This window comes from Homo sapiens, chromosome 11 (genome assembly GCF_000001405.40).
Source record: "Homo sapiens chromosome 11, GRCh38.p14 Primary Assembly".
Classification (NCBI taxonomy): Eukaryota; Metazoa; Chordata; class Mammalia; order Primates; family Hominidae; genus Homo; species Homo sapiens.
In genome coordinates, this window is record NC_000011.10 from 77,980,674 (window position 1) to 78,006,944 (window position 26,271).

General features: G+C 42.6%; 1 protein-coding gene across 7 annotated transcripts in view, besides 3 other annotated features; it reads right to left on the bottom strand.

Annotated features, from left to right (window-relative positions):
• INTS4 (integrator complex subunit 4) overlaps positions 1–13,995 on the bottom strand; it is a 120,307-nt gene extending 106,312 nt beyond the window's left edge. For all 7 annotated transcript variants that reach the window (XR_002957208.2, XR_001748036.3, XM_017018560.3 and 4 more), the window contains exons 1-3: positions 13,917–13,995; positions 10,435–10,626; positions 786–903 (exon numbers count right to left, since the gene is read on the bottom strand). Coding sequence is in view for 5 of the 7 variants with exons in the window: in XM_017018560.3 (XP_016874049.1) it covers positions 786–903; positions 10,435–10,626; positions 13,917–13,970 (364 nt within the window). In the remaining 2 variants the exon portion in view is untranslated. The remainder of the gene's footprint in view (positions 1–785; positions 904–10,434; positions 10,627–13,916) is intronic.
• Positions 13,910–14,109: an enhancer, noted in NCBI's record as "active region_5312". NCBI's record gives its function as "activates an Ori minimal core promoter by ATAC-STARR-seq in GM12878 lymphoblastoid cells {active_cell/tissue: GM12878}" and the evidence as "EXISTENCE:reporter gene assay evidence [ECO:0000049][PMID:35858748]".
• Positions 14,310–14,379: a silencer, noted in NCBI's record as "silent region_3804". NCBI's record gives its function as "represses an Ori minimal core promoter by ATAC-STARR-seq in GM12878 lymphoblastoid cells {active_cell/tissue: GM12878}" and the evidence as "EXISTENCE:reporter gene assay evidence [ECO:0000049][PMID:35858748]".
• Positions 17,137–17,337: a silencer, noted in NCBI's record as "peak1367 fragment used in MPRA reporter construct". NCBI's record gives its function as "represses an SCP1 promoter by STARR-seq MPRAs in K562 erythroleukemia cells {active_cell/tissue: K562}" and the evidence as "EXISTENCE:reporter gene assay evidence [ECO:0000049][PMID:32103011]".

Here is a 26,271-nt window from a genome sequence, read left to right on the forward strand (position 1 = left end):
CCTAGCCTGTTTTAGTGCTTTTAAAAATGTGTCTTGGCCGGGCACAGTGGCTCACGCCTGTAATTCCAGCACTTTGGGAGGCTGAAGTGGGTGGATCACAAGGTCAGGAGATCAAGACCATCATGGCTAACATGGTGAAACCCTGTCTCTACTAAAAATACAAAAAAAATCAGCCAGGGCGTGGTGGCAGGCACCTGTAGTCCCAGCTACTTGGGAGGCTGAGGCAGGAGAATGACGTGAACCCGGGAGGCAGAGCTTGCAGTGAGCCGAGATCGTGCCACTGCACTCCAGCCTGGGAGACAGAGCGAGACTCCGTTAAAAAAAAAAAAAGTTTCTTGATGGAACGAGTACTGTATGTTCAGTTACAGGTTTCAGTGTAAGCTGAAATAATCCTTTTAGAAAGCAATAGGGTAATATATAGCAAGGGTCATTAACATGTTTGGACTTCTGGACTCCAGCCTGGAGTCAGGCTGCTCAATATATCAAGGCCCTGCCTCAAAACAAAAAACAAACAAGCAAAAAAAAAAAAAAAAAAAGGGACAATAATGTCTATATCATATGTAAACTACCTCAAATATATGGTAGGTACCTGGCCAATAAATGACAGCTATTAAGAGATAAAACTGTATTTCTACTCTAATGTAAATATGTATATATGGTTTCATTAAATTATCCTCAAATTCCTCTTCAATAACAATCAACACAACAAAATTTTGTCCTAAATTCTATACAAAAAGAACTAAATATTTCTGCTCTGACTATAGAGCTTTTAAATTGCAACTTACTTTCATTCTGCAGGATGTTGATGGCATCATCCATAATGCAGTCTGGTGAAAATCCTGCTGTCTTTGATAATAAACCCAACAATGATGCAATTTTCAGTCTCACAGATGGATCATTCTCCTGGAAAAAAAGAAGCAATTGTCACTTTGATGCTTTACACTTAGCTAACCAACAAACAGGAACATGGAAAACTAACATCCCAAAAGAGATTCAATGATCCAAGTATTCTATGGCATCATTTCTGAAAAATTAATTTTATATACTTCTGGAGAGACAGCTTTCTTTTATTTATTTATTTATTTATTTATTTATTTATTTATTTTTGAGATGGAGTTTTAATCTGTTGCCCAGCCTGGAGTGCAGTGCGTGATCTTGGCTCAATGCAACCTCTGCCGGGGAGACAGCTTTCTCAGTTGATACATTACATCCAAATACTGCAAAGTGAATGAGAACTTTTCTATGCCATTCTGATGTCATTATCTTCTAATAAAAAACGTGCCACTGGCATTAAAAGCACCTGACCTCCACTGAGTAGTCATGTTAGACACAAGTCAGAGCAACTTGCACCAACAACTGGGTATACAACATTGCTGCCAGTACCACTGCTTTTGGAGTCCCTGGAAAGTGAGTGTTGCAGCTACCACTGCTATCACCAGAAAGAATCTTTCATTCTACCTGTCTTTTTTTTTTTTTTTTTTTGAAACAGGGTCTCACTGTCTCCCAGGTCAGAGTGCAGTGGCGCCATCATGGCTAACTAGAGCCTTGACCTCCTGAGCTCAAGTGAACCTCCAACCTCAGCCTCCCAAGTAGCTGGGACTACAGATACATGCTACCACACCTGGCTACTTTTTTTTAATTTTTAGTAGAGATGAGCTTTTGCTTTGTTGCCCAAGTTGGTCTCAAACTCCTGAGCTCAAGCAATCCTCCTGCCTTGGCTTCCCAAAATGCTGGAATTACAGGTGTGAGCCACCACGCTCAGCCCTACCTGCTTTTTTGAATCACCAGATCCTGATTAGAAGTCTGGAGGAGGCAAGTGTGACTGTCTGAGTGTAAGTCTTGTGCCTGGGCCCCAGCTGCAGGGGAGACTGACAAAGAAATAGTCTGGCTGTTTTAGCTTAGAGAGAGGGAGGTGGTCTCTAATGGGCACCAAAATTCCTGTGGTGAGAAATTTCCTCCAAAGACAAACAGGAATGCTCTCTTGTTCACTGCCATATCTCAAGAATATAGCACAATACCTGACACTGAAAAGATCAATAAATATATGTGAAATGAGAGGAAAAAAAGTACCTAACCAGTGCTGAGAATAGATCATCTTTCTATACTAAAGACAAAATTACTTAAGTGTATGCTCAAAGGATAAGGTGCTTTTCAAATAAGACCAACTCCCTGCCTCCTATATTCAGTTTCTAAGGAGGTCACCAGGCACAATAAGGAGGCCTAAAGCAGGAGAAGGGGCAATAGATACAGCGTTGGAAGATCTAAAATCCTGGCATGCTATGCCACTTATTATGCACATAACTTTAGAAAAGTCACTTTCTTGGGAACTTACCTTAAGGTGTGAAGTGAAGCAGAAAGAGAAAGGGCTTTGAAATTAGCCAGATGTAGGTGTGAAGCCTGGATTCACTACACAACAGCTGTATGTCTTAAACAATTAACCTCTCTGAGCCTTATCTGTGAAATGGGGGTAATAACCTCAGAGGGCTACTGAGAGGAAAATTACTAGCACAAAAATGGGCATATAGTAAGCAGTCAAATAACAGTTCCTTGATCTTTATTATTTTCTTCCTTCTACTAAGTTTGGGTTTAGTTTGCTGTTTTTCTAGTTTTGTTTTGTTAAATAATAGAGACAGGGTCTCACTATGTTGCCGGTTTGGTTTTGAACTCCTGGGCTCCTGCCTAGGCCTCCCAAAGTGCTGGGATTACACGTGTGAGTCACCATGCCCCAGTCTTCTTCTAGTTCTTTAAGTTGTAAAGTTAGATTCTTGATTTGAAATTAGTAACAGAATATATTAACAATTCCAAAACTGAACAAGAGAAACAACCCAAATCAAAACTGGGCAAAGAACTTGAATAGACATTTCTCCAAAGAAGATATACAAATGGCCAAATAAACACATGAAAAGAGGCTCAACATCACTAATCATTACAGAAATGCAAATCAAAACTACAATGAGACACCATCTCATACTCGTTAAGATGGCTACTATCAAAAAACAGAAAACAAGTGTTGGCGAGGATGTAGAGAAATTAGAATCTTTGTGACCTGCTGGTGGGGATGTAAAACAGCAAAGCCACTGTGGAAAACAGTATGATGGAAATCGCTTCTGGGCCTTTTGGCTAAGATCAAGTGTAGGAAAACAGTATGGTGGCTCCTCAAAAAATTAATAATAGAATTACATATGATCCAGCAATTCCACTTTTGGGTATATACTCAAAAAAATTTAAAGCAGGGTCTTGAAGAAATATTTGGACAAATATGTTCATAGCAGCATTATTCACAACAGCTAAAATGTGGAAGCAATGCAAGTATCCATTGGCAAATGAAAAGATAAGCAAAATATGGTATATACACATAATGGAATATTATTTAGCCTTAAAAAAGAAGGAAATTCTGACATAGCCTAACACATGGATAAACCTAGAGGATATTATGCTAAGTGAAAAAAGCCAGGCACAAAAAGACAAATACTTTATAATTCCACTTATATGAGGTACTTAGAGCAGTTGAAATCACGGAGACAAAATGTAGAATGAGACCGGGCACAGTGGCTCACATCTGTAATCCCAACACCTTGGGAGGCCAAGGCAGGCAGATCACCCTACGTCAGGAAGTTTGAGACCAGACTGACCAACATGGCAAAACCCTGTCTCTACCAAAAATACAAAAATTAGGCAGGCATGGTGGTGCACGCCTATAGTCCCAGCTACTCGGGAGGCCGAGGCAGGAGAATCACTTGAACACAGGAGGCAGAAGTTGCAGTGAGCTGAGATCACGCCACTGCACTCCAGCCTGGGTGACAGAGTGAGACTCTGTGTCAAAAAATGAAAAAAAAAAAAAGGTAGATGGTGGTTGCCAGGGGCTGGAGGTGGGGGTGATGGAGGATTACTGTTTAATGGGGAAAGAGTTTCAGTTTTACAAGATGAAAAGAGTTCTGGAGATGGATGGTGGTGATGGCTGCATAACAATATGAATGTACTTAACACACATGAACTGCACACTTAAAATGGTTAAGATAATAAATTTTAATTGTTACCACAATTAAGAAATGATTAGCCAGGCATGGTGGCACATGCCTATAGTTCCAGCTACTTAGGAGGCTGAGGTGAGAGGATTGCATAAGCCTGGGAGGTGGAGGTTTCAGTGAACCATGATAGCACCACTGCACTCCAGCCTGGAGTGAGACCTTGTTAGGAAAAAAAAGGGAAAAAAGGGGGGGAAAAGAAAATAAATGTAAATGAAAAAAAAAAAAAAGCAGATAAGAGAGCATCTGACCTAGTGACATTCCTTATCCATTTGGATACTTTACTCAAGTTCTTTTACTTTCTGAAATAATCCCTTAGCACTCCTTCTACTATGACACATAAATGATCTCCTTCACACCTGAGCTAAAAACAGAATTACCTCCAGGGAAGCCTTCTCTAATAATTGTTTCTTCTGACCATTAAAACTGTCTTGGTTCAGGCTTTCATCACCTTTCCCCAAACTTACAGTCTTCTAATTGGTCACTCTAACTCCAGTCCATCCAATTCCTTTATCCTCCATACTTCCCCTCAGAGTGACATTTCTAAAACAAAAACTGACAAGGTAGAATACAAGGCCCTTTAGAATCAGATGCCTTCCAAATCTTCTGGTCTTATCTCTTGATGAGCTCCCAACCTAAAATCTGCACCAGCCAAACTAGCTGCATTTCTTCTAATGTGATAGCCTGTCTCACATCTCCATGCCCATGTTCACGGTTGCTCACAACTAAAATGTCTTTCCCCCTGTCTTCCAACTGGCCAAAATCTATTTCTAGGACTTTTCTCAAGCATCGCTACCACTCTATAATGCATTTCTGGATCCCTGCTTCCAATAATTAATCGCCCCCTTCTTTGAGGCCATATCATAACCTACCCCAGATTTCATAAGACCTGAAACACTGTATTGTTATTAATTCATTTCTTATTTACTCAAGACTCAGATCAGGGATTACATCATCTACATCTCTATTACCAACATGAAGCACAAAGCCTGGCACAGAGTAAGTATTCAGACATGCTGAGCAAATGAAAAAATAAGCAAATGGAAAACTTTAGCACTTACTATCTACATACTACATATATGGTCTGCCGACTACACTGCTAGCCCCTAAAGGACAAAGAACATATCTCACAGCTCTGCATCCTCCATAGCTACTAGCACAGTAGCATAAGTGAAGAATCAATCATGTGAAATAAGTTCAGATACTAATGCCTGATCACAAAAAAAAAGTAGGAAAAAGCAGAAGCCAGAGTAGTTTTATCCACTAAAATATTAACATAAAATACCACATTTCTGGATAGAACAGAAGAAAGGGTAAAAAACACTATGGTCAACAATCTAGAACTGGGTCCATCTGGCATCCCTCCTCATTTCCTTAGGAGCTAGGGTCCACTTGATTAATGCATGCAGCATGGACTGGTTAAAGTGCTTGAGATCTGACATCAGAACACCTGAGTTAAATTTTGCTTTTAGACATGACAAAAGATTATGTTTTTTAAGAGTCTTCGCCACATTTATGCAGCCAACAGACACATGAAAAAATGCTCACCATCACTGGTCATCAGAGAAATGCAAATCAAAACCACAATGAGATACCATCTCACATCAGTTAGAATGGCAATCATTAAAAAGTCAGGCAACAACAGATGCTGGAGAGGATGTGGAGAAATAGGAACACTTTTACACTGTTGGGAGTGTAAATTAGTTCAACCATTGTGGAAGAGAGTGCGGCAATTCCTCAAGGATCTAGAACTAGAAATACCATTTGACCCAGCAATCCCATTACTGGGTATATACCCAAAGGATTATAAATCATGCTACTATAAAGATACATGTGCACGTATGTTTATTGCGGCACTATTCACAAGAGCAAAGACTTGGAAGTAACCCAAATGTCCACCAACGATAGACTGGATTAAGAAAATGTGGCACATATACACCATGGAATACTATGCAGCCATAAAAAAGGATGCGTTCATGTCCTTCGCAGGGAAATGGATGAAGCTGAAAACCATCCTTCTCAGCAAACTATCACAAGGACAGAAAACCAAACACCGCATGTTCTCACTCATAGGTGGGAATTGAACAGTGAGAACACTTGGACACAGGGCGGGAAACATCACACACCGGGGCCTGTTGGGGAGTGGGGGGCTGGGGGAGGGATAGCATTAGGAGAAATACCTAAAGTAAATGATGAGTTAATGGGTGCAGCAAGCCAACATGGCACATGTATACACATGTAACAAACCTGCACGTTGTGCACATGTGCCCTAGAACCTAAAGTATAATAATAAAAAAAGAGTCTTCACCACTTAAAGATATAAATCAAAATTTATGATTAAAATAATATGATGCCAGGAATTTATTTTCATAAGAATCTGGTGGAGAAGGTGAGGGTAAAGAAGTAGAAGTGGATTGGGGAAGAGGGAAAATGAAACAAGTTTGGCCACAAAATGATAATTTTTGAAGCCAGGTAATGGGTACATGGGAATTAATTAAACTATTCTCTTTACTTACATAGTATATATCTGAAATGTTCCATAACAAAAGGTTTTTTAAAAAAAAAACCCAAGTTCAAATCCATACCTTCCATTTACTAGCTGGGTGACCTTGGATACTAAACAGCTCTAAGCTTAGTTCCATATCTGGAATTTAGAGATAACAATGGTGCTGTCACCAGGATTAAATAAAATATTACATATGGAAAGTGCTTTCAAACTCTAACAAGCAATATAATGTTAACTGCTCTAAGAAGTATTATTATAGATGATTATTGGTAACAGATCTTTAATATAATAATAATGGTAGATATTGCTAAGAAAAAGACTAACGGAAAATAGATCACTGAGAGATCGAAAACTTCTTGAGAACAGAAATCCTGATTTTGGTCAGATGTGGTAGCTCACGTCTGTAATCCCAATCCTTTGGGAGGGCCAAGCAGGAGGGTTGCTTGAGCTCAGGAATTCGCGACCAGCCTGGGCAACACAGAGAGACTCCATCTCTACAAAAAAAATTAAAAAGAAAAAATTAGCCGGGAGTGGTGGCATGTGCCTGTGGTCCCAGCTCCTCAGGAGGCTGAGGTGGGAGGATGGCTTGAGCCTGGGAGTCCAGACTTCAGTGGGCAGTGATCACGCCATTGCACTCTAGATTGGGCAACAGAGCAACACTCAAAAAGATGCCAGGCACAGTGGTTCATGCCTGTAATCCCAGCACTTTGGGAGGCTGAGGTAGGTGAATCGCTTGAGCCCAGGAGTTTGAGACCAACCTTGGTAACATGGTGAAACCTCATCTCTATCAAAAATATAAAAATTAGCCAGTCTCATAACCCAGTCTCTAGATAGATAGATACGATTTTTTAAAAAATTTTTTAAAGAAAAGAACAACAAAAAAAGAAAGCCTGATTTTATTCACGTAAAACATAAGTGAAACATTTATAATGTCCCTTCAATGTTCCTAGGAACCTGCCAGGCACTGGGATAGAGACTAATGGATCTGCAGCCTCTGAATTTACGGAGCTCAAAGTCTGAAGGAGATAGACACATATGGCAAACAATTGCAACGCATAAGACTTAACAATTGTGCTAATGGACACCGTCCAGTGCCCAGAACAAAGTCTGATATATATTTGTTGAGTAAAATGTATCACAAAAGCATCAATTAATTCATTTATTCATTCAACAAATATTTATTTTACCAGGCACTGTTCTTGATTCTGTAGAAACAACAATTAAAAAACATAAAAATCCCTGCTCAAGGGAAGCTTATGTTCCTGCATGGGGAAATGGACAAGGAACATAATTAACAAGAAATTATACAGAATATTAGAAGATGGTAATTACTATGGAGAAAACAAAATCAAGGAAGGGGACTAGGAAGTGCGGGGTGGGGATAGGCAGTTTCGATATGAAACAGAAGGGTAAAGGAAGACCTCAATGTAACGGTGACATTTGCATGCTGATAGCTGCAATATGAAGTACAAGTCACCATTTATAACATAGTCTTAAAATTGTCAAAAATATGCTTAACTTAAATCTAACAAAGCCTATAGATCTAACTTTCAGTTCATAGTAAATACAGAGAACAGAGGAACAAGTTAATCCTTAAAGAAGTAAATGAATTCAGAAAACAAGACATTTTACAAAAGAACTGTCTCAGTTTCTTCATCAAATCAATGTCACCAAAATAGTAACTGTTGTAGATTTTTGAAAAGACTGAATGCCATGTGGGGACCTGGTTTGCATTTTGATTTGAATACATCAACTATAAAAAGGTACTGGGAGAACAACTACAGAAATCTAAATATCAACTAATTCTTAGATGACATTAAAGAATTACTTAACTTTATTCATTAGGGTTAGGTGGCTATGTTAAAAAATAAAAAGTCCCTCTACTTTCTCATAGCAGTGAGAAAAAAAAAGAAAACAACAAAAAGGTATCCCTTTTTAATAGATATGTAATGAAATAATTAGAAAAAAATGACATATCTTTTTAAAAATTCAACAAAACAAGGCTGGGCGCGGTGGCTCACACCTGTAATCCCAGCACTTTGGGAGGCCGAGGCAGGTGGATCACCCGAGGTCTGGAATTCGAGACTAGCCTGGCCAACATGGTGAAACCCCATCTCTACTAAAAATACAGAATTAGCTGAGCGTGATGGCGCACTCCTGTAGTCCCAGCTACTTGGGAGGCTGAGGCAGGAGAACTGCTTGAACCCAGGAGTGCTATTACACTCCAGCCTGGGCAACAGAGTGAGACTCATCTCAAAAAAAATAATAACAAAATAAAATAAAATTCAGCGAAAAAATAGAGCAAATTTGGCAAAATACTAATAACTGTTAAATTCTAGGAATGGATATTTGGTAGGTCACTATAGTATTTTATCTACTTTTCCATAAGCTTAACAATTTGGGGGCTGAGTGTGGTGGTTCACACCTGTAATCTCAGCAATTTGGAAGCCCAAGGAGGGTGGATTGCTTGAGCCCAGGAATTCGAGATCAGCCTGTGCAACATAGCAAAGCCCTGTCTCTACAAAAAAAAAAAAAAAATACAAAAATTAGCCAGGCATGCTGCACATGCCTGTAGTCCCAGCTACTCAGAAGGCTGAGGCAGGAGGATCAATTGAGCCTCGGAGGTCGAGGGTACAGTGAGCCGTGATAGCACCACTGCACTCCCGCCTGGGCGAGAAAGCAAGACCCCATCTCAAAAATAATAATAGTAATAATAATAATGATTTTTGGGCTGGGAATGGTAGCTCACGCTTGCAATCCCAGCACTTTGGGAGGCCAGGGTGCATGGATCACTTGAGGTCAGGAGTACAAGACCAGCCTGGCCAACACAGCAAAACCCCACCTCTACTAAAAATACAAAAAAAATTAGCTGGGTGTGGTGTCACACACCTGCGGTCCTAGCCACTCTGGAGGCTGACGCAGGAGAATCACTTAAACCAAAGAGACGGAGGTTGCAGTGAGCCAAGATTGTGCCACCACTATACTCCAGGCTGAGTGACAGACCAAGTCTCAAAAAAAAAAAAAAAAAAAATGCAAAACTTAGCCTGGAGTAGTGGCACGTCTGCAGTCCCACCTACGTGGAAGGCTGAGCCAGGAGAATCACTTAAGCCCAGGAGTTCCAGGCTACAGTGACCTATGATGATGCCACTAAACTCTAGGCTGGGTGACAGTGAGCCTCTGTCTCAAAAACAGTTTTTTTGGCCAGACGCAGTGGCTCACGCCTGTAATCCTAACACTTTGGGAGGCCAAGGTGGCTGCATCACTTAAAGTCAGGAGTTCGAGACCAGCCTGGCCAACATGGCAAAACCCCGTCTCTACTAAAAATACAAAAATTAGCAGGGTGTGGTGGCACGTGCCTGTAATCCCAGCTACTAAGGAGGCTGAGGCAGGAGAATCGCTTGAACCCAGGAGGCAGAGGTTGCAGCGAGCCAAGATTGCACTACTGCACTCCAGCATGGGCAACAGAGCGAGACTCTGTCTCCAAAAAAAAAAAAAAAAAAATGTATTTTTAATTAAAAAAGAGGGCCACTGCAATTAGATATGAGGGCCATGAATTAGGAAAGGAACAGCAGGACCACATTCCAGAGATGAATGGGTCATGATTGATATTTACTCCTCTTTTGTGCTTCCACTGTACTCTGCACATACTGCACTCACAGTAACTTCAGCAGTATGATGCACCTTATCATTGACATGTCTTGTTTCCATCTACTATACACAGTATAACTTTCTGAGGTCAAGATCTGTATCTTTTTTATCTCGGTATCCATAGTACCTAGCACTTGGAAGACACTCAATAAAAGCTTCCTAATGAATACCCTATTTATTTGTAATATTAACCATTCTGCAGACATGATACAACTCCCATGATATACTCCCATCAGATCCTCAAGATTTTCTTACCTTGTAATAATGTTCCAAGAGAATCCTGACTACTCCCTCTACGCTTTCCGCCTCGACAGGCTTCCTGGCAAACTGGAGCAAGTATTGCAAAGCATCTGCTGGGGAGGTAGCTTTACACAGATCTATGTGGAGTGCTGCAGATTTACTTGGTTTTGTTAGTCGGAGTTTCTTAGTAGCAATTTCCTCCTGTGGCTGCAAGGGGTAGAGAAAATCGAAAACACAGAATCTGCAAATTTAACTTTGCCTCATTTGGTGGAAATGATTTTCCATTATACCAAATAATATATTTAGCTGATGGACTTAGGAAAATACAGTATTATAAACCAGAAAGAGTACCGGGTTGGTGACAAGGCCATGAGTCTCAATTTTGCCTTTACCAGTTCCTATGACTTTAGGCAAGTCATTTAATTTCTCCGAGTCTCAGTTTATGTCTCTGTAAAATAGGTATACTTTTTTTTTTTCTTAGAGATGGAGTCTCTCTATGTTGCCCAGGCTGGTCTTAACTCCTGGGCTCAAGCAATCCTGGCACCTCAGCCTCCCAAAGTGCTGGGATTACAAGCATGAGCCACGGTGCCCAGCCTTACACTAACATTTTGCTCTACCTATCTCTGAGGATTGTGGTAGCCTTTGGGTTTAGAGGTCACACAAAGGATCTACTCCATTTTTTTGAGACAGAGCAAGACACTGTCGCCCAGGCAGGAGTGCAATGGTGCAATCTTGGCTTGCTGCAATCTCCACCTCCTAGGTTCAAATGATTCTCTGACTGACACCCAACATGCTGGGATTATAGGTGTGTGCCACCTCCACCTACTACGTTCAAGCGATTCACCTCCCTGACTCCCAACTAGCTGGAATTACAGGTGTGTGCCACCACACATGGCTAATTTTTGTATTTCTAGTAGAGACAGGTTTTGCCATGTTACCCAGGCTGGTTTCGAACTTCTGGCCTCAAGTGATCCCTCTGCTTCAGTCTCCCAAAGTCCATTCTTTATTAGAAAACAAATATCAGACATGGCATGGTGGCTCATGCCTGTAATCCCAGCACTTTGAGAGGCTTAGGCAGGCGGATCACTTGAGGCCAGGAGTTCAAGACCAGCCTGGCCAACATGGCAAAACCCCATCTCTACTAAAAACACAAAAATTAGCTGGGGGTGGTGGTGTATGCCTGCAGTCCCAGCTATGCAGGAGGCTGAGGATTGCGTGAACCCAGGAGGCAGAAGTTGCAGTGAGCTAGGATTGCGCAACTGCACACCAGTTTGGGCGAAAAGAGCGAAACTCCATCTCAAAACAGAAGAAAAGGAAACAAATATCCGATGGGCGTAGTGGCTTACACCTGAAATCCTAGCACTTTGGGAGGCTGAGGCAGGAGGATCCCTTGAGCCCAGGAGTTCGAGACCAGCCTGGGCAACATGGTGAAATCCTGTCTCTGTTAAAAAATAATAATAAAATAAAATAAATTTCCTTACCACCTAATGGTGCGTTTTTATGTACTGAGCAATCACCTCCTTACAAATTCACATTTCTATAGAAAAGAGAGTAGAATTATTCTAGACAAGAACACAGTATGACATGATAAAAAGAATAAGGACTTTGGAGTCAGAGGAATTTGTATTCAATTACAACTTACTAGCTGGGGAAGGCCTTCTTCTATAGGAGGGCATACCAATACTTTATTATCACAGAGCTAGTCGATAAATCTGTTATTAAACATAACTTTATTATACGTATATGTAAGTGCTAGGCACATATCAGTTCTCCCTCCTCATCTTTTCAGCGGAGAAAAAAGAACAGAAGCACTAAGATCTCATTTAATCACTTTATGTTAACAACTGATGAAAAATTAAGTGAAGAAATTAGCTCTTCCCTTAAAATTCTTAGCCATTTCTATCCTAGTCCTCTCAAACTCAGTTTTCAGTCTTATCGAAGCTGTAGTTAGGTCAAAAGCTAGGAATTTTTTCCCTAAGTATTATATAAGGGAGAGGACAAGCAATATCAACTGTCATTCAACCACCAATAACACTTTAGTGAGCCAGGCCCTATTGTCCATCTCCAGGACACGGAGATGAGCCAGGCATTAGCTCTGCCATCAAGGACCTCCGACTGGTGGGAAGATAGGTACACCGGTAATGACAGCAGCACTGAACAAAAAGTACAAATAGATTAGTACCACAGAATGCTACAGAAACAGGTGAAGAAGAGACTAAGCTCTCGCTGAGGTTTCATTTGGGTCTTGAAGCACAAATGTTAAGTCCACTGGGTGGAGAACAAAAAGAAAGGGAAGAATGGCATGTATTCTGTGAGAAGAGACAACCAGTGCAAGAGTTTTGAGATATGCAAACACAAGAACACATGGCATATCTGGTCATGTGAGGATGGGTGGAAGAGGGCTGAGCAGTCTTGGGAAATGGGAACAACAGAATGTTGGGAAGAGAGGAAATCACATTGTGCAACAGTGCTAATGTTCTTAATGCCACTGAACTTTATACTTAAAATTGTTAAAATTGTAAATTTTATATTATGTATTGACATATTTTGTATTTGTATTAACATATTTTAATGCTGGATGAATGAATCCATGTAATGTTTAAGGATCAGTATCCTGCTGGATGCTCTAAGCCTTGCCACTCTACAAGTCTAAGGATCTAAGAATGCAACCAATGCACTGGTGTAAATTTGGGGGCATGTCAGGAATGCAGAATCTTGCCTCACCTCCTCTGCTTGACTTATCAAATAGAATCGACATTTGAACAACGTCCCCAGGTAATTTGTATACACATTAATATCTGAGAAATAGGACATCAGGATGATTTAGGATCAACCCTAGCAACATCTACGTGGAGACACATGGAGCATCACTGACTCCCGACAGGGACTCTGCCCACCTGTCACAACTTCATGGTGAGGAAGGTACTGCCCTCCTTCCTAGGTGAGCTGTTCTACCAATAGAGAGCTCTTCCCCTATGAAGTCTGTGACCCCCGCCTGCTTAGACTGCGCCTGAAGGAATTCTATAGACCCTTCTTTCAGCCCCTTAGAACCTTGTGTATATTCCAACTGGTCCCTGGGAGGTTTTTTTTTGGAACGGGGGTGCGGGGAGGCTAGAAGGGGCTCTGCTGCTAACTGGCTGTATCCTCGTACCCCTCCGGAAGGCTCAATGTCCACATCTGGAAAACGAGGATGCTAATGTAACGCGATGGAGCAAAGTTGTGTGAGAGAATAAAATGAAATAACGGATAAGACAGTTTCGTAAATTAAAAAACACTGTTTCTCCTAATAATTTTTTTAAAATCCTGTCAGACTTCACATATTAATGACAACAGCGGCTGCAAACTAACACGCCCACTAACTTGCAATATCAGAGATTATCAACAAGTCAGCACTTAACACGGGCGTATGGAGCCTCTTCTGTTCCGGCAAAGTGCCTGGGATTTGGATAATCTACCCTGGTCCGGATCGGTTCTGGATCTTTCCCGCCAGAGCTTACCTGAACCACTTTCGTGAATTCCTCATAAACCCGCTTCTTAAGGTGCGCCGCCATGCCTACCCGCGGGCCCTCTCAGCTTCCGTACACTAGGAGGGAGGCGGGGGTGGACGGATCCGGAAAACTTGCGTAGGCGCGGGGGGTGGGTGGATGACTTGCCGAGATCCCACAAGGCAGTGGGATTTGGGGAAAGAGCGACCGCTTCCTGTTGCTCGACTGCCTCGCCACTGTACGGACTGATTTGGCGGCCTACGCCGGAAGAACGGAAATAAGAGCTTCGCTTGTGGGAGGCGGGGCCTCTGGCGGGAGGAGCTGAGACTGAAAGGGTGGGCAACCCAATGGGAGCTTTGGGAGGCTGGTTGGTGGCCTCGGAGTGGCTAAGAGACTAGCGCGGCGCGGCGCGAAGGGAGGGAGGGAGGAAGTACAGGTTAAAGGGCAGAGGCGGGGTGCTCCAGAGCTAGAGGCAAAACCCGGAGCTCTGTAAGGGGTTTACGACTCGTGAAAAAACTCAGAGGCTCGGCTGACTTTCCCATCATCCTTTGCTGTACACGATGCTGTTTGTAGGTTTCCTGAGCACTGCCTTTGTTCAAGCTGTGCGCCACCTCTCTTGTTTTGGGGTGCCTTTCCATACTTCCTTATTCCAGTTTTGCAAAAGCTGCCATCCTTTAAGGCATCAATCCCTGCTCTGATAGCTATAGTACAGTAGAAGACTTCTGAGACCAAGGATAAAGCAACAAAGCTACAGACTACAGCTCTGGTTCTTGAGCAAATGGCTCAACTACAAATGCATTTATAATAACTAACCTGACAAAGATGTGACAATGGAGTGAAATAATGCAGGAACATTTTACGGACTGTAAGGTGTAGTGCACATGTTAGTGTCAGTAAATCCAAGGTCAAGTTTTACAACCTACATGAAACTAGCTGTTCATTATTTTGGTCTTTCAAAAGAATGTGGGCCAGGCGCGGTGGCTCATGCCTGTAATCCCAATACTTTGGCAGGCCGAGGCGGATGGATCACTTGAGGTCAGGAGTTCGAGACCAGCCTGGCCAACATGGGGAAACCCCGTCTCTACTAAAAATACAAAAATTAGTCGGGGCATGGTGGCACACGCCTGTAATCCCAGTTTCTTGGGAGGTTGAGGCAGAAGAATCACTTGAACATGGGAAGCGGAGGTTGCAGTGAGCCGAGATCGCGCCACTGCACTCCAGCCTGGGCGACTGAGCGAGACTCCGTTATCAAAAAAAAAAAAAAAGAATTAATGTGGGATAGTTTAAAAAAAAAAAAGCAGGAGGCTGAGGTGGATACAGAGGACCCAAAAATAAACAAAAGATAGTATTTATCCTCAAGGTCCTACAATCTGAGAAGACAGACACCCAAACTGATGGTGACAGTGCAACTGAAATGTGCTGGGTAACGGGAATGAATGTGGTTCAAACAGACCTAATTTCTTCAGAGTGCCTCAGGGAAGGCTTTCCTAAAATTAGAGGAAACTGGGAGTGGTGGCTCACGCCTATAATCCCAGCACTTTGAGAGGCCGAGGCGGGCAGATCACCTAGTTCAGAAGTTTTGAGACCAGCCTGGGCAACATGGCGAAATCTACTTTAAAAATACAAAATTTAGCTGGGCATGATGGTGGCCCACGCCTGAAGTCCCAGCTACTCTGGAGGCTGAGGCGGGAAAATCGCTTGGGCCTGGGATGTGGAGGTTGCAGTGAGCCGAGATCCAGCCACTGCACTCCAGCCTGGGCAACGGAGTGAGACCCTGTCTCCAAAAAAAAAAAAAAAAAAAAAAAAGGCTGGGCGCGGTGGCTCACCCCTATAATCCCAACACTTTGGGAGGCCGAGGCAGGCGGATCACCTGAGGTCGGGAGTTCGAGACCAGCCTGGCCAACATGGTGAAACCCCGTCTCTCCTAAAAATACAAAAACTAGCCGGGCGTCGGGGTGGGTGACTGTAATCCTAGCTACACGGGAGGCTGAAGCAGGAGAATCGTTTGAACCCAGGTGGCAGCGGCTGCAGTGCGCCGAGATCGGGCCTCTGTACTCCAGCCTGAGCAACAGAGCGAGACTCTGTCTCAAGAAAAAAAAAAGAAAAAAAAAGGAAACTATTTCTAATGCAGCTTTAAAAGAATGAGTTTTTCCAGAAACAAAGGCATCCCAGACCGCCGAGATAAGATATACAAATATGTCAAGGGAAATGAAAAACATTTAGCAAACAGTACCTTTAATAAAGCTTAGCTGCTATTATTACCATTATCATATTCTATCAAATCTAAGCTGCCAGCAATTGTAAAATCAATATTTTATTTATTATGTTAAGAAAAGAAATGCTGAAATTAAATACAATGGTTTCTAATTGCTTAGATTTGTTATGTATACTTACAGAAACAGCTCTTTTTAACTTATTTAGACATAGATTTGTATCTTACCTCGCACTGCTGTTTCCATGTCTTCCTGTGCACATAAGAACTTTTTAATGCCAAATTATAGGGTAATCTATTTGGAGATATATTTAATAGTAATTTAAAATAACACATGTAATTCCAAAATTGCACAGAGCTCAGTCGAAGCGATGACACCATGAACTGCTACGACTCAGTATACATATGAGCGATTGGCCAACATCTCCTGATTTCGGAGACATTAAATGTGCATCATAGCATCAATGATACAGAGTATTATCATCGTTATTAAATACATGGCGGCCAGGTGCGGTGGCTCACACCTGTAATCCCAGCACTTTGGAAGACCAAGGTGAGAGGATAGCTTGAGCTCAGGAGTTGGAGACCAGCCTGGGCAACATGGTGAAAACCTATCTCTACCAAAAATACAAAAAATTAGCTGGGCGTGGTGGCATATGCCTGTAGTGCCAGCTACTCGGGAGGCTGAGGTAGGAAGATTGCTTGAGCCCGCTTGGCAGAGATTGCAGTAGCTGAGATCGCACCACTGCACTCCAGCCTGGGTGACAGAATGAGACCCTGTCTCAAAATAATAAATAAATAAATAAATAAATAAATAAATGGCTTTAGGAAGGAGTTTGGTGCATTCCGAAAACCAAAGGAACTTCAGTTCATGTTGAAAGTTAAGTGCATGCAGGGAACAGAAGAAGCAATAAAAATAAAGTTGAGGCCAGGCATGGTGCCTCATGCCTGTAATCCCAGTACTTTGGGAGGTGGTAGGTGGGAGGATCCCTTGAGCTCAGGAGTTCCAGACCAGTCAGTGCAACAGAAAGAGACCCTGTCTCTATATTTTAAAAAAAAAAAATTTATATGGAGTTTATCTCTGTCACCCAGGCTGCAGTGCAGTGGCACAATCGTGGCTCCCTGTAGCCTCGATCTCTGAGGTTCAAGCGATTCTCCTGCCTCAGCCTCATGAGTAGCTGAGATTACAGGCATGCGCCACCACACCCAGCTAATCTTTTTGCATTTTTAGTAGAGACAGGGTCTCACCATGTTGCCGAGGCTGGTCTCAAACTCCTGACCTCAAGTGATCTGCCCACCTCGGCCTCCCAAAGTGCTGGGATTACAGGCATGAGCCACCACGCCTGGCTATATAAATTTTTTTTAAATTATAAATAAATAAATTTGAGAAGTTGGTATAGCCAACTTCTCAATGAGCCAGATTGGTATAGAAACAAGAACACACATTCTTTAATGTTGAATTGAAAAACCGTCTTTATTGTATTGATGCCATTTTCCTTTGACTTTTATTATTACTTATGAAAATACATTAAGGTTCACCTGTGAATGAATCCGTGAGGCTTCAGTCTTCTCTCTCTCTTGCATAACAGCAGCCCAACTTAGTAACTTCTTCTCTACCTGCTGGTTCAGAACAAGAGCCCCAGTGGTCTGGGGACAGTCTCATTACATGTCCAATGTAATGAACAATGACTATGTTCTCTAGGGCAACTGTTCCTCCCTTGGGGAGTAAGTCTTCCAAACCTACTGAGCCCAAGAATTCATAAATGAATTATTAGGTGTAAAAGAGAGAGGAACTGCTCCTATCTCCACCCTTTGATAACCAGACCCATGTTCTAACTGTGGGAGAAGCAGTACTATATTTTAGCTGTTGGTATAAGGCATATGCCACAAACAGCGGCCCAAACTCACAATGTGTTGGCTCTTGACTAGCGCTATAACTGAATCTCCAAAAGGTTATTATTCTGCTTTATTATAGCACCTACATCTGAATGATGGGGTTCCTGGCAAGACCAAGAAGTTTCTTCACTACAATTTTCTCAGCATAAAATAAGCTCCTTAATCAGAAGCAATGTGTGGAGTACTATGATAATGAATGAGGCATCCATAGATGATGGAGCTGGCAGAAATATTGCAGGCAGGGAAGTCAAATCTGAATTTGGAATATGAATCTATTCCTGTGAGGACAAATCACTGCTCCTTCCATGATGGAAAGGATCCAGTGTGTAGTTGAATGATTGCAAAAAAAGCCCCAAATCTCCCCCTCTCGGTATGTATACCCCTTGAAGTGTGACTTTGAAGGTGCTTTTATTAAGAGATGAAATCTATATTATCACCCTTTGAATTTGTGCTGGCCTTGTGACAGGCCAATACAATGTGGTAGAAGTGACAGCGTGCTAATTTTGAGTCTAAGCCTCAAGGTCCACCCACATACAATTTCCCAGACCTTTTGTTTGATTTTGGACCCCCACCATTGCCATGACAGCAAATCCAACCTGGCCTGCTGAAGAGTGAGTGACCACATGGAACACAGGCAAATTGACCCACCTGAAGCCATCTGAGACCGGCTCCGCCCCAGCTAATCCACCAGCTGACTACAGATGTATGCGTGATCTCAGCTGAGACCAGAACTGCCCAATCTGTAGGCCTGTGAGAAATAATTAATAGCTGTAGTCTTAAGTCATTACATTTGGGGGTAGGAAATTGTCACACAGTCAGGCACTCCCTAAGCGCTAAGTTAAGTTGCCACACTTCATCTGGTAAGGAGACAACAAGCCCAAATGATTTAGGCAGTTGATTATTCACAGCATAGCAGGTGGCATGAACTCCAAATTTGTTTCAGTTCTCCTTGCCAACCAAGCACCATGGCAGTTATACAGGTGAATGCCATGCACACAATAGATCTGTAACAGCTGAGAACACTGAGCTTAGGAACTTCCCATTCTTGAAAGAGGACTGCTGAGAAACTTGTCCTCTGGAGGCAGACTTTATTATACTGGTCAGGAAACAAATCTGCCTTCCACCCCATGGGGGACATTTTTTTTTATCACTCTGAAATGTTTCCAGGATTTGAGGACCATATTAGCTTTATTACCCTGGAATATAAGTAAATCTGCTCCCTGCTCCTAAGCAGCTTTGCAAACATCCTCAAACAAAGCTGTTGATGCCATTTGCTCAGAAACACCAGAATTTTTCCCAGCAGTTTGCTAACTGATTTGCAGTGCAATAAACCTCCCACCAAGAAGTGCCTGGTACCCTCTGAGAATAATACCATATCAGGGGCTTAGTGTTGGTCTCTCTCTACTATTGGCAGGTTGGACATACATCAGTGGCTAGATTAGCTTTGGTGAGAGGAAGTCTGTACTGTGCAGCCCATGAATAGCCTCTATCCCTGCCATTATGGCAGGGATTTTTGTTCATGTCTCCATCGAGCAAGCACTGAGCTGCTGGGGAAAGAGGCTGGCTGACATCCACAGGTTGGATCATTGTGCCCTTGATTTTTGAGACCCTCTTCTAGAATGGGTGCCCTCTGGTGGACATTCACAAGGAGCACAGACATTTACACCTATACCAGTTTCCCAGGCTTTCTTATCACCCATCTTCCACTCTTGAACTTGCCAAGTCTCTGGCCAACCAGGAATGGGCCCTGGGTATGCAGAAGGACCTAACAATCAGCCTCCCAGGACACTAAGCACAGCAGTAAAGAGCAGATAATGAGTGGGGGTTGGGAGAAGGCAGCAGAAGATGAGGGAAATAAGTAGAGAATTAAAAACAAACAAATAACAACAACAACAAAAACAGGTACCCTAAGAGAAAAAAATGTAGAACTGAAAACCTGATGCAGTGCTATGAACTGGGATATCTTCATGAGGGTAATCTACAAAGGTTTACATCTTTCTTTGTGTTTTTCCTTTAGATTATGTTGACAGTTACGTTTAGCATACGGTTTTAAGATTTTCTCTTCTGACTCTATAATTTTCTTTGGTTAGTCCCAACAGATCTAAGAAGTTTCATATATTCATACAAATGAAGCAGAGATTGCCTTTTGAACATGATTACTATCATTGCTATTTTGGGTTTTGTTGTTGTTGTTGTTGTTGTTGTTGTTTGAGACAGAGTCTTGCTCTTGTTGCCCTGGCTGGAGTGCAATGGTGCAATCTCAGCCACTGCAACCTCCGCCTCCCGGGTTCAAGAGATTCCCCTACCTCAGCCTCCAGAGTAGCTGGGATTACAGATGCCTGCCACCACACCTGGCTAATGTTTGTATTTTTAGTAGAGACAAGATTTCACTATGTTGGCCAGGCTGGTCTCAAAACTCCTGACTTCAAGTGATCCACCCGCTTCGGCCTCCGAAAGTGCTGGGATTACAGGCGTGAGCCATTGCACCTGGCCTGCTATTTTGGCCTTTCTGTTAGGAAAGAGGAAGGGAGGAGATAGTATTAATGAGTAGGCAACCAACAATGTTCTTGTAATTCATGTACTTGTAATTTTTGTGTATATGAGACAGGGTCTCGCTCTGTTGCCCAGGCTGGAGTGCAGTGACATGATCATGGCTTGCTGCAGTCTTGACCTTCCAGGCTCAAGTGATCCTCCCACCTCAGCATCCTGAAAAGCTAGGACAGCAGGCTTGTGCCACCACACCCGGCTAATTGTTTTATTTGTTTGTTTGTTTGTTTGTTTTTTGTAGAGGCAGGGTCTCACCATGTTGCCCAGGTTGGTTTTAAACTCCTGCCCTCAAGTGATCCTCCTGCCTTGGCCTCCCAAAGTGCTAGGATTACAGGTGTGAGCCACTGTGCCTAATTTATATCTTTTTTTTTTTTTTTTCGAGATGGAGCTTCGCTCTTGTCACTCAGGCTGGCGTGCAATAGCACCATCTCTGCTCACTGCAACCTCCACCTCCCGGGTTCAAGCTATTCTGCCTCAGCCTCCCAAATAGCTGGGATTACAGGCACCTGCCACCATGCCCGGCTAATTTTGTATTTTTAGCAGAGATGGGGTTTCACCATGTTGGCCAGGCTGGTCACAAACTCCTGACCTCAGGTGATCCGCCCGCCATGGCCTCGAAAAGTGCTGGGATTATAAGCATTAGCCACCGTGCCTGGCCTTATGTTTATATCTTTTTGGATATTTCTTTTTTGTACAGTCTTGTAAGTCCCACTACCTTAAATCTTTTTTGGAGCAAATATTTAATTAAATTACATTGAATTAAATGAGCATTCTCCTCACCTTAATTTTAAGCCATCCATAAATGTAATTTTAATAGCAGCAAAACATTACATTATACAGACATAATATAATGACTTAAAACTATTTATTGCTTCTCAGAATAGGGTATTAAAAGAAAAAATACTGCTTATTTCCAAAAGTTTTGCTATCGTGAGATAAAAATGTTTTGTTTTTTGTTTTGTTTTGTTTTGTTTTTTGAGACAGAGTCTTGCTCTGTCGCTCAGGATGGAGTGGCATGGTGCAATCTTGGCTCACTGTAACCTCTGCCTCCCTGTAACCTCTGCCTCCTAGGTTCATGGAATTCTCCTGCCTCAGCCTAACAAGTAACTGAGATTACAGGTGTGCACCCCCATGCCCGACTAATTTTTGTATTTTTAGTAGAGACAGGGTTTCACCATGTTGGCCAGGCTGGTCAAATGAACTTGTAACCTCAGGTGATCCACCTGTCTTGGCCTCATAAAGTGCTGGGATTACATAGGTGTGAGCACAGCGCCCAGTCAATAGTACGTTATCTTAACTGTATTATGGATTGAGAGTTGGGGAGGTATTGGAATTGCCTTTGTTTAATAAAATAGTTTGGAAGTTGCTTAGGAGGAGAGTCATTATCTTAAGAACATGCATGCAATCTAGAACCAAGCAACAAAGGAGGTAGCTAAACTGGAGCATGGTCTTCTCTTTGCAAATAGAAGGAACACGAGAGGGCTCATGGAGAATTGTCGTGTTTCTAAAGCCTTGGTTTGGAACTGGCACACTGTCATTTCCACACATATTCCATTGGCTGGCATAAGTTAGTGAGGCAGGGAAGAATAGTCCCACCCACGGTGGAGCATGGCAAGAAAATGGAAAGAAGAGAGAATAGTTAACAAATACAATCTACTAGTAAAAAGTCCCCAGTGATGGGATGATTTGCACACTATTAAGAATAAATATGTCCAATAGTCAATTGGGAGTTGTGGTTCTGTATTATAAATCCTCTCGCCTTAATTGCCTATATTTTCCACCATCAGCTGTGTGCACAAATAGGTTAGGGAGTGGCATTTATAAAAAAAAAATTAAAGACCTGTATGTTAAATCTGGTGAACATTGTGTAGAACAGCAACAATGGGTTTAAGACACACAGATGAGGAGAAGAAGTGGAAGACCAGAACAGACCTTGAGAACACAAGCACTCCAGGAATGTGCAGAAAACTTAGGGAGGACATTACCTTTCCTCAACTCATGAAACTGAGATGTTAAGCAATCCTGTTTAGATCTTAAGGAGCAGGATGTCTCCAGTGAAAATGCAGGTGACAAAAATATCTGAATCTCTTAAGTACTGCCTTGAAATCTAATCTCATAGGAGTAATTACTGATCAAAGTATGGACTCTTTTCCCCAGGCTCTTGATAATGTTGAATTTCTTCATGATGAAAAGATTAAGTAGACATTCAAGAATGTCCACCCTAAATTGTCAGCCATATTAAAACCAAGAAAGGAAACCATAGACCAACCTTGAAAATAAGAAAAAAATATACAAACAGATGTGATTCCTGAATTATAATGCTCTTTGAAAATGACTGTTCTGAACAATTTTGTGGTTGAATTTAAAACTCCATACGTATTAATTCCTTAAACTTCAAAAGTTAACAATACTGTAAATAGGTAAACAGTTGTCTCTGATGTCAAGTCAAACAATATTTTAAGTCTGACAAGAAAGATAGGTAACTGCCAAAGTAAATATCTCAAGCAGCTATGGATCATGACAGGCTTTATTATATATACAGTACTTATAAAATCACAAGCTGTGGCCAGGCACGGTGGCTCACACCTGTAATCCCAGCACTTGGGGAGGCCAAGGCGGGAGGAGTGCTTGAGGCTGGGAGTTCGAGACCAGCTTGAGCAACATGGTGAAACCACTTCTCTACAAAATATATAAAAATTAGCCAGGTGTGGTGGCGTATACCTGTGGTCCTGGCTACTTGGGCTGCTGAGGCAGAAAAATCACCTTGAGCCCAGGGAGGTTGAGGCTTTGGTGAGCCATGATCGCACCGCTGTACTTCATCCTAGGTGACAGAGTGAGACTCTGTCTCAAAAGAAAACAAGCTAAAAAAACCAAAAAACAGAAAACTAAACCTTTGGACCTCATAGTAAAATGAAAAATTGAAAAAGAAATTCTGAAACAGTCACAAGGGAACTTTTTTTTTTTCTGAGACAGAGTCTAGCTCTGTCGCCTAGGTTGGAGTGCAATGGCATGATCTCGGCTCACTGAAACCTCTGCCTCCTGGGTTCAAGCAATTCTCCTGCCTCAGCCTCCTGAGTAGCTGGGATTACAGGCACGCACCACCACACCCAGCTAATTTTTGTATTTTTAGTAGAGATGGGGTTTCACTGTGTTTCCCAGGCTGGTCTCGAACTCCTGACCTCGTGATCCACCTGCCTCGGCCTCCCAAAGTACTGGGATTACAAGCGTGAGCCACCATGCCCGGCACAAGGGAACTTTATGTATGCTATCATCCATCTCACGTGGCTTCAGTTTAAACATTTGCTCTACAAAAAGATGGGCATAGTGGCTGCTCTCTCTGTTTAAAGATGTGAAGGATGTACAGCCCTGATACTTCCCAGAAGGGTCTGTAAGAGACACCGTGACTTTGGCCTTGCCCTTGCCCTACATTGCTTTTAGCCTTGAAATTTTGACTCAGCAATATCAGAGCCCTAAAATGTGCTGGATATTTTCAAATATGTTACTTGATTTTACTCTCTGTATTAGTTTCCTGAGGCTGCCAACCACAAACTTGGTAGCTTAAAACAGCAAACATTTATTGTCTCACAGTTCTGGAGGCTAGAAGTCCAAAATTCACTTATTGGCAGAACTGTCCTCTCTCTGGAGGCACTAGGAGAGAATCTGTACCTTGCCTCTTCCAGCTTCTGGCTGCTGCCACAGCATTCCTGAGCTTGTGGTCATTTTTATTTATTTAATTTTTTAATTTTTTGAGGCAGGGTCTCACTCTATCTCCCAGCCTGAGTGCAGTGTGATCATGGCTCACTGCAGCCTCGAACTTCCAGGCTAATGCAATCCTCCCACCTCAGCCTGCCAAGTAGCTGGGACTACAGCTGTGCGCCACCATGCCTTGCTATTTATTTATTAATAGAGATGGGATCTCGCTATGTTGCTTAGGCTGGTCTCGAATTCCTGGATGCAAGTGATCCTCCCCCTCAGCCTCCCACAGTGTTGGGATACAGGTGTGAGCCACTGTACCTGGCCTCTTATAAGGATTTATAAGGAAAGATTGTCTCTGGATTTAGGATCCACCCAGATAATACAGGAGAATCTCCTCATCTTCAAATCTTTAACTTAATTACGTCTGCAAAAATTCTTTTTCCAAATAAGGTAACATCTATAGATTCTGGGGATTATGAGGTGGACATAGCATTTGGGGGACCACCATTCAACCCACTGCACTCTCACAACCTTGTGGAGCAGATCCCCTTTCAAGAACTCCCCCAGAGTTTCTTGCTTAAGAACACTGTAATAGATGAGCTGCCATTCAAAGTAAGGTCTCGGACAGTCGCAGTGGCTCACACCTGTAATCCCGGCACTTTGGGAGGCTGAGGCAGGTGGATCACTTGAGGTCAGGAGTTCGAGACCAGCCTGGCGAACACGGTGAAACCCGTCTCTACTAAAAATACAAAAAAAAAAAAAAAAAAATTAGCCGGGCATGGTGACAAGCGCCTGTAATCCCAGCTACTCGGGAGGCTGAGGCATGAGAATCGCTTGAATCTGAGAGGTGGAAGTTGCAGTGAGCGGAGATCGTGCCACTGCACTCCAGCCTGAGTGACAGAGCGAGACTCCGTCTCACAAAAAAACAAAGTAGGGTCTCTGGTCGAATTCCAGTGCTCCTTCAATTATGCCACACCTTGTTGACATCGCCATAGAACAGTAATAATACGGACATACCTCATTTTATTGCATTTGCTTTATTGTGCTTCACAGATATTGCCTATTTTATAAATGGAAAGTTTGTGGCAACTGTGTTTTGAGCAAGTCTACAGGTGCCGTTGTTCCAGTAGCATATGCTCGCTTGAAGTCTCTGTGTCACATTTTGGTAGTTTTCACAATATTTCAACCCTTTTCATTATTTTATATCTGTTATGGTGATCCGTGATCAGTGATTTTTGATGTCCCTATTCTAATTATTTGGGGCCACCACAAACAACATCCATATAAGACGGAAAACACAATAAATAAATGTGTGTGTTCTGACTGTCCCACTGACTGGCAATGCCCTGTCTCCCTCCCTCTCTTCAGGCCTCCCTATTCCTTGAGATACAACAATATTGAAATTCCCTGACACAAAATAATATTGAACAGTTAATAGCCCTACATAATGGCCTCTAAGTGCTCAAGTGAAAGGAAGAGTCCCAGGCCAGGCATGGTAGCTTGCGCCTGTAATATCAGCAATTTGGGAGGCTAAGACTGGAGGATTGCTTGAGCTCAGGAGTTTGGACCAGCCTGGGCAACATAGTGAGACAAAAAATAAAATTAGCTGGGCGTGGTGGCACATGCCTGTGGTCCCAGCTACTTGGGAGGTTGAGGTGGGTGGGTCATGTGAGCCCAAGAAGTTGAGGCTACAGTGAGCTGAGATTGTGCCATTGCACTACAGCCTGGGCAACACAGCAGATCCCCATCTCCAAAAAAATAAAAATAAACAAAGGAAGAGTCCCACATCTCCTACTTTAAATCAAAAGTTGGAAATGATTGGCTGGACGCGGTGGCTCATGCCTATCATCCCAACATTTTGGGAGGCCAAGGTGGGAGGCCTGCTTGAGCCCAGGAGTTGGAGACCAGCCTGGGAAACAAGGCAAGACCCCATCTCTACAAAATTTTAAAAATTAGTTGGGTGTGGTGGCACACACCTGTGGTCCCAGCTACTCAGGAGGTTGAAATGGGAGGATT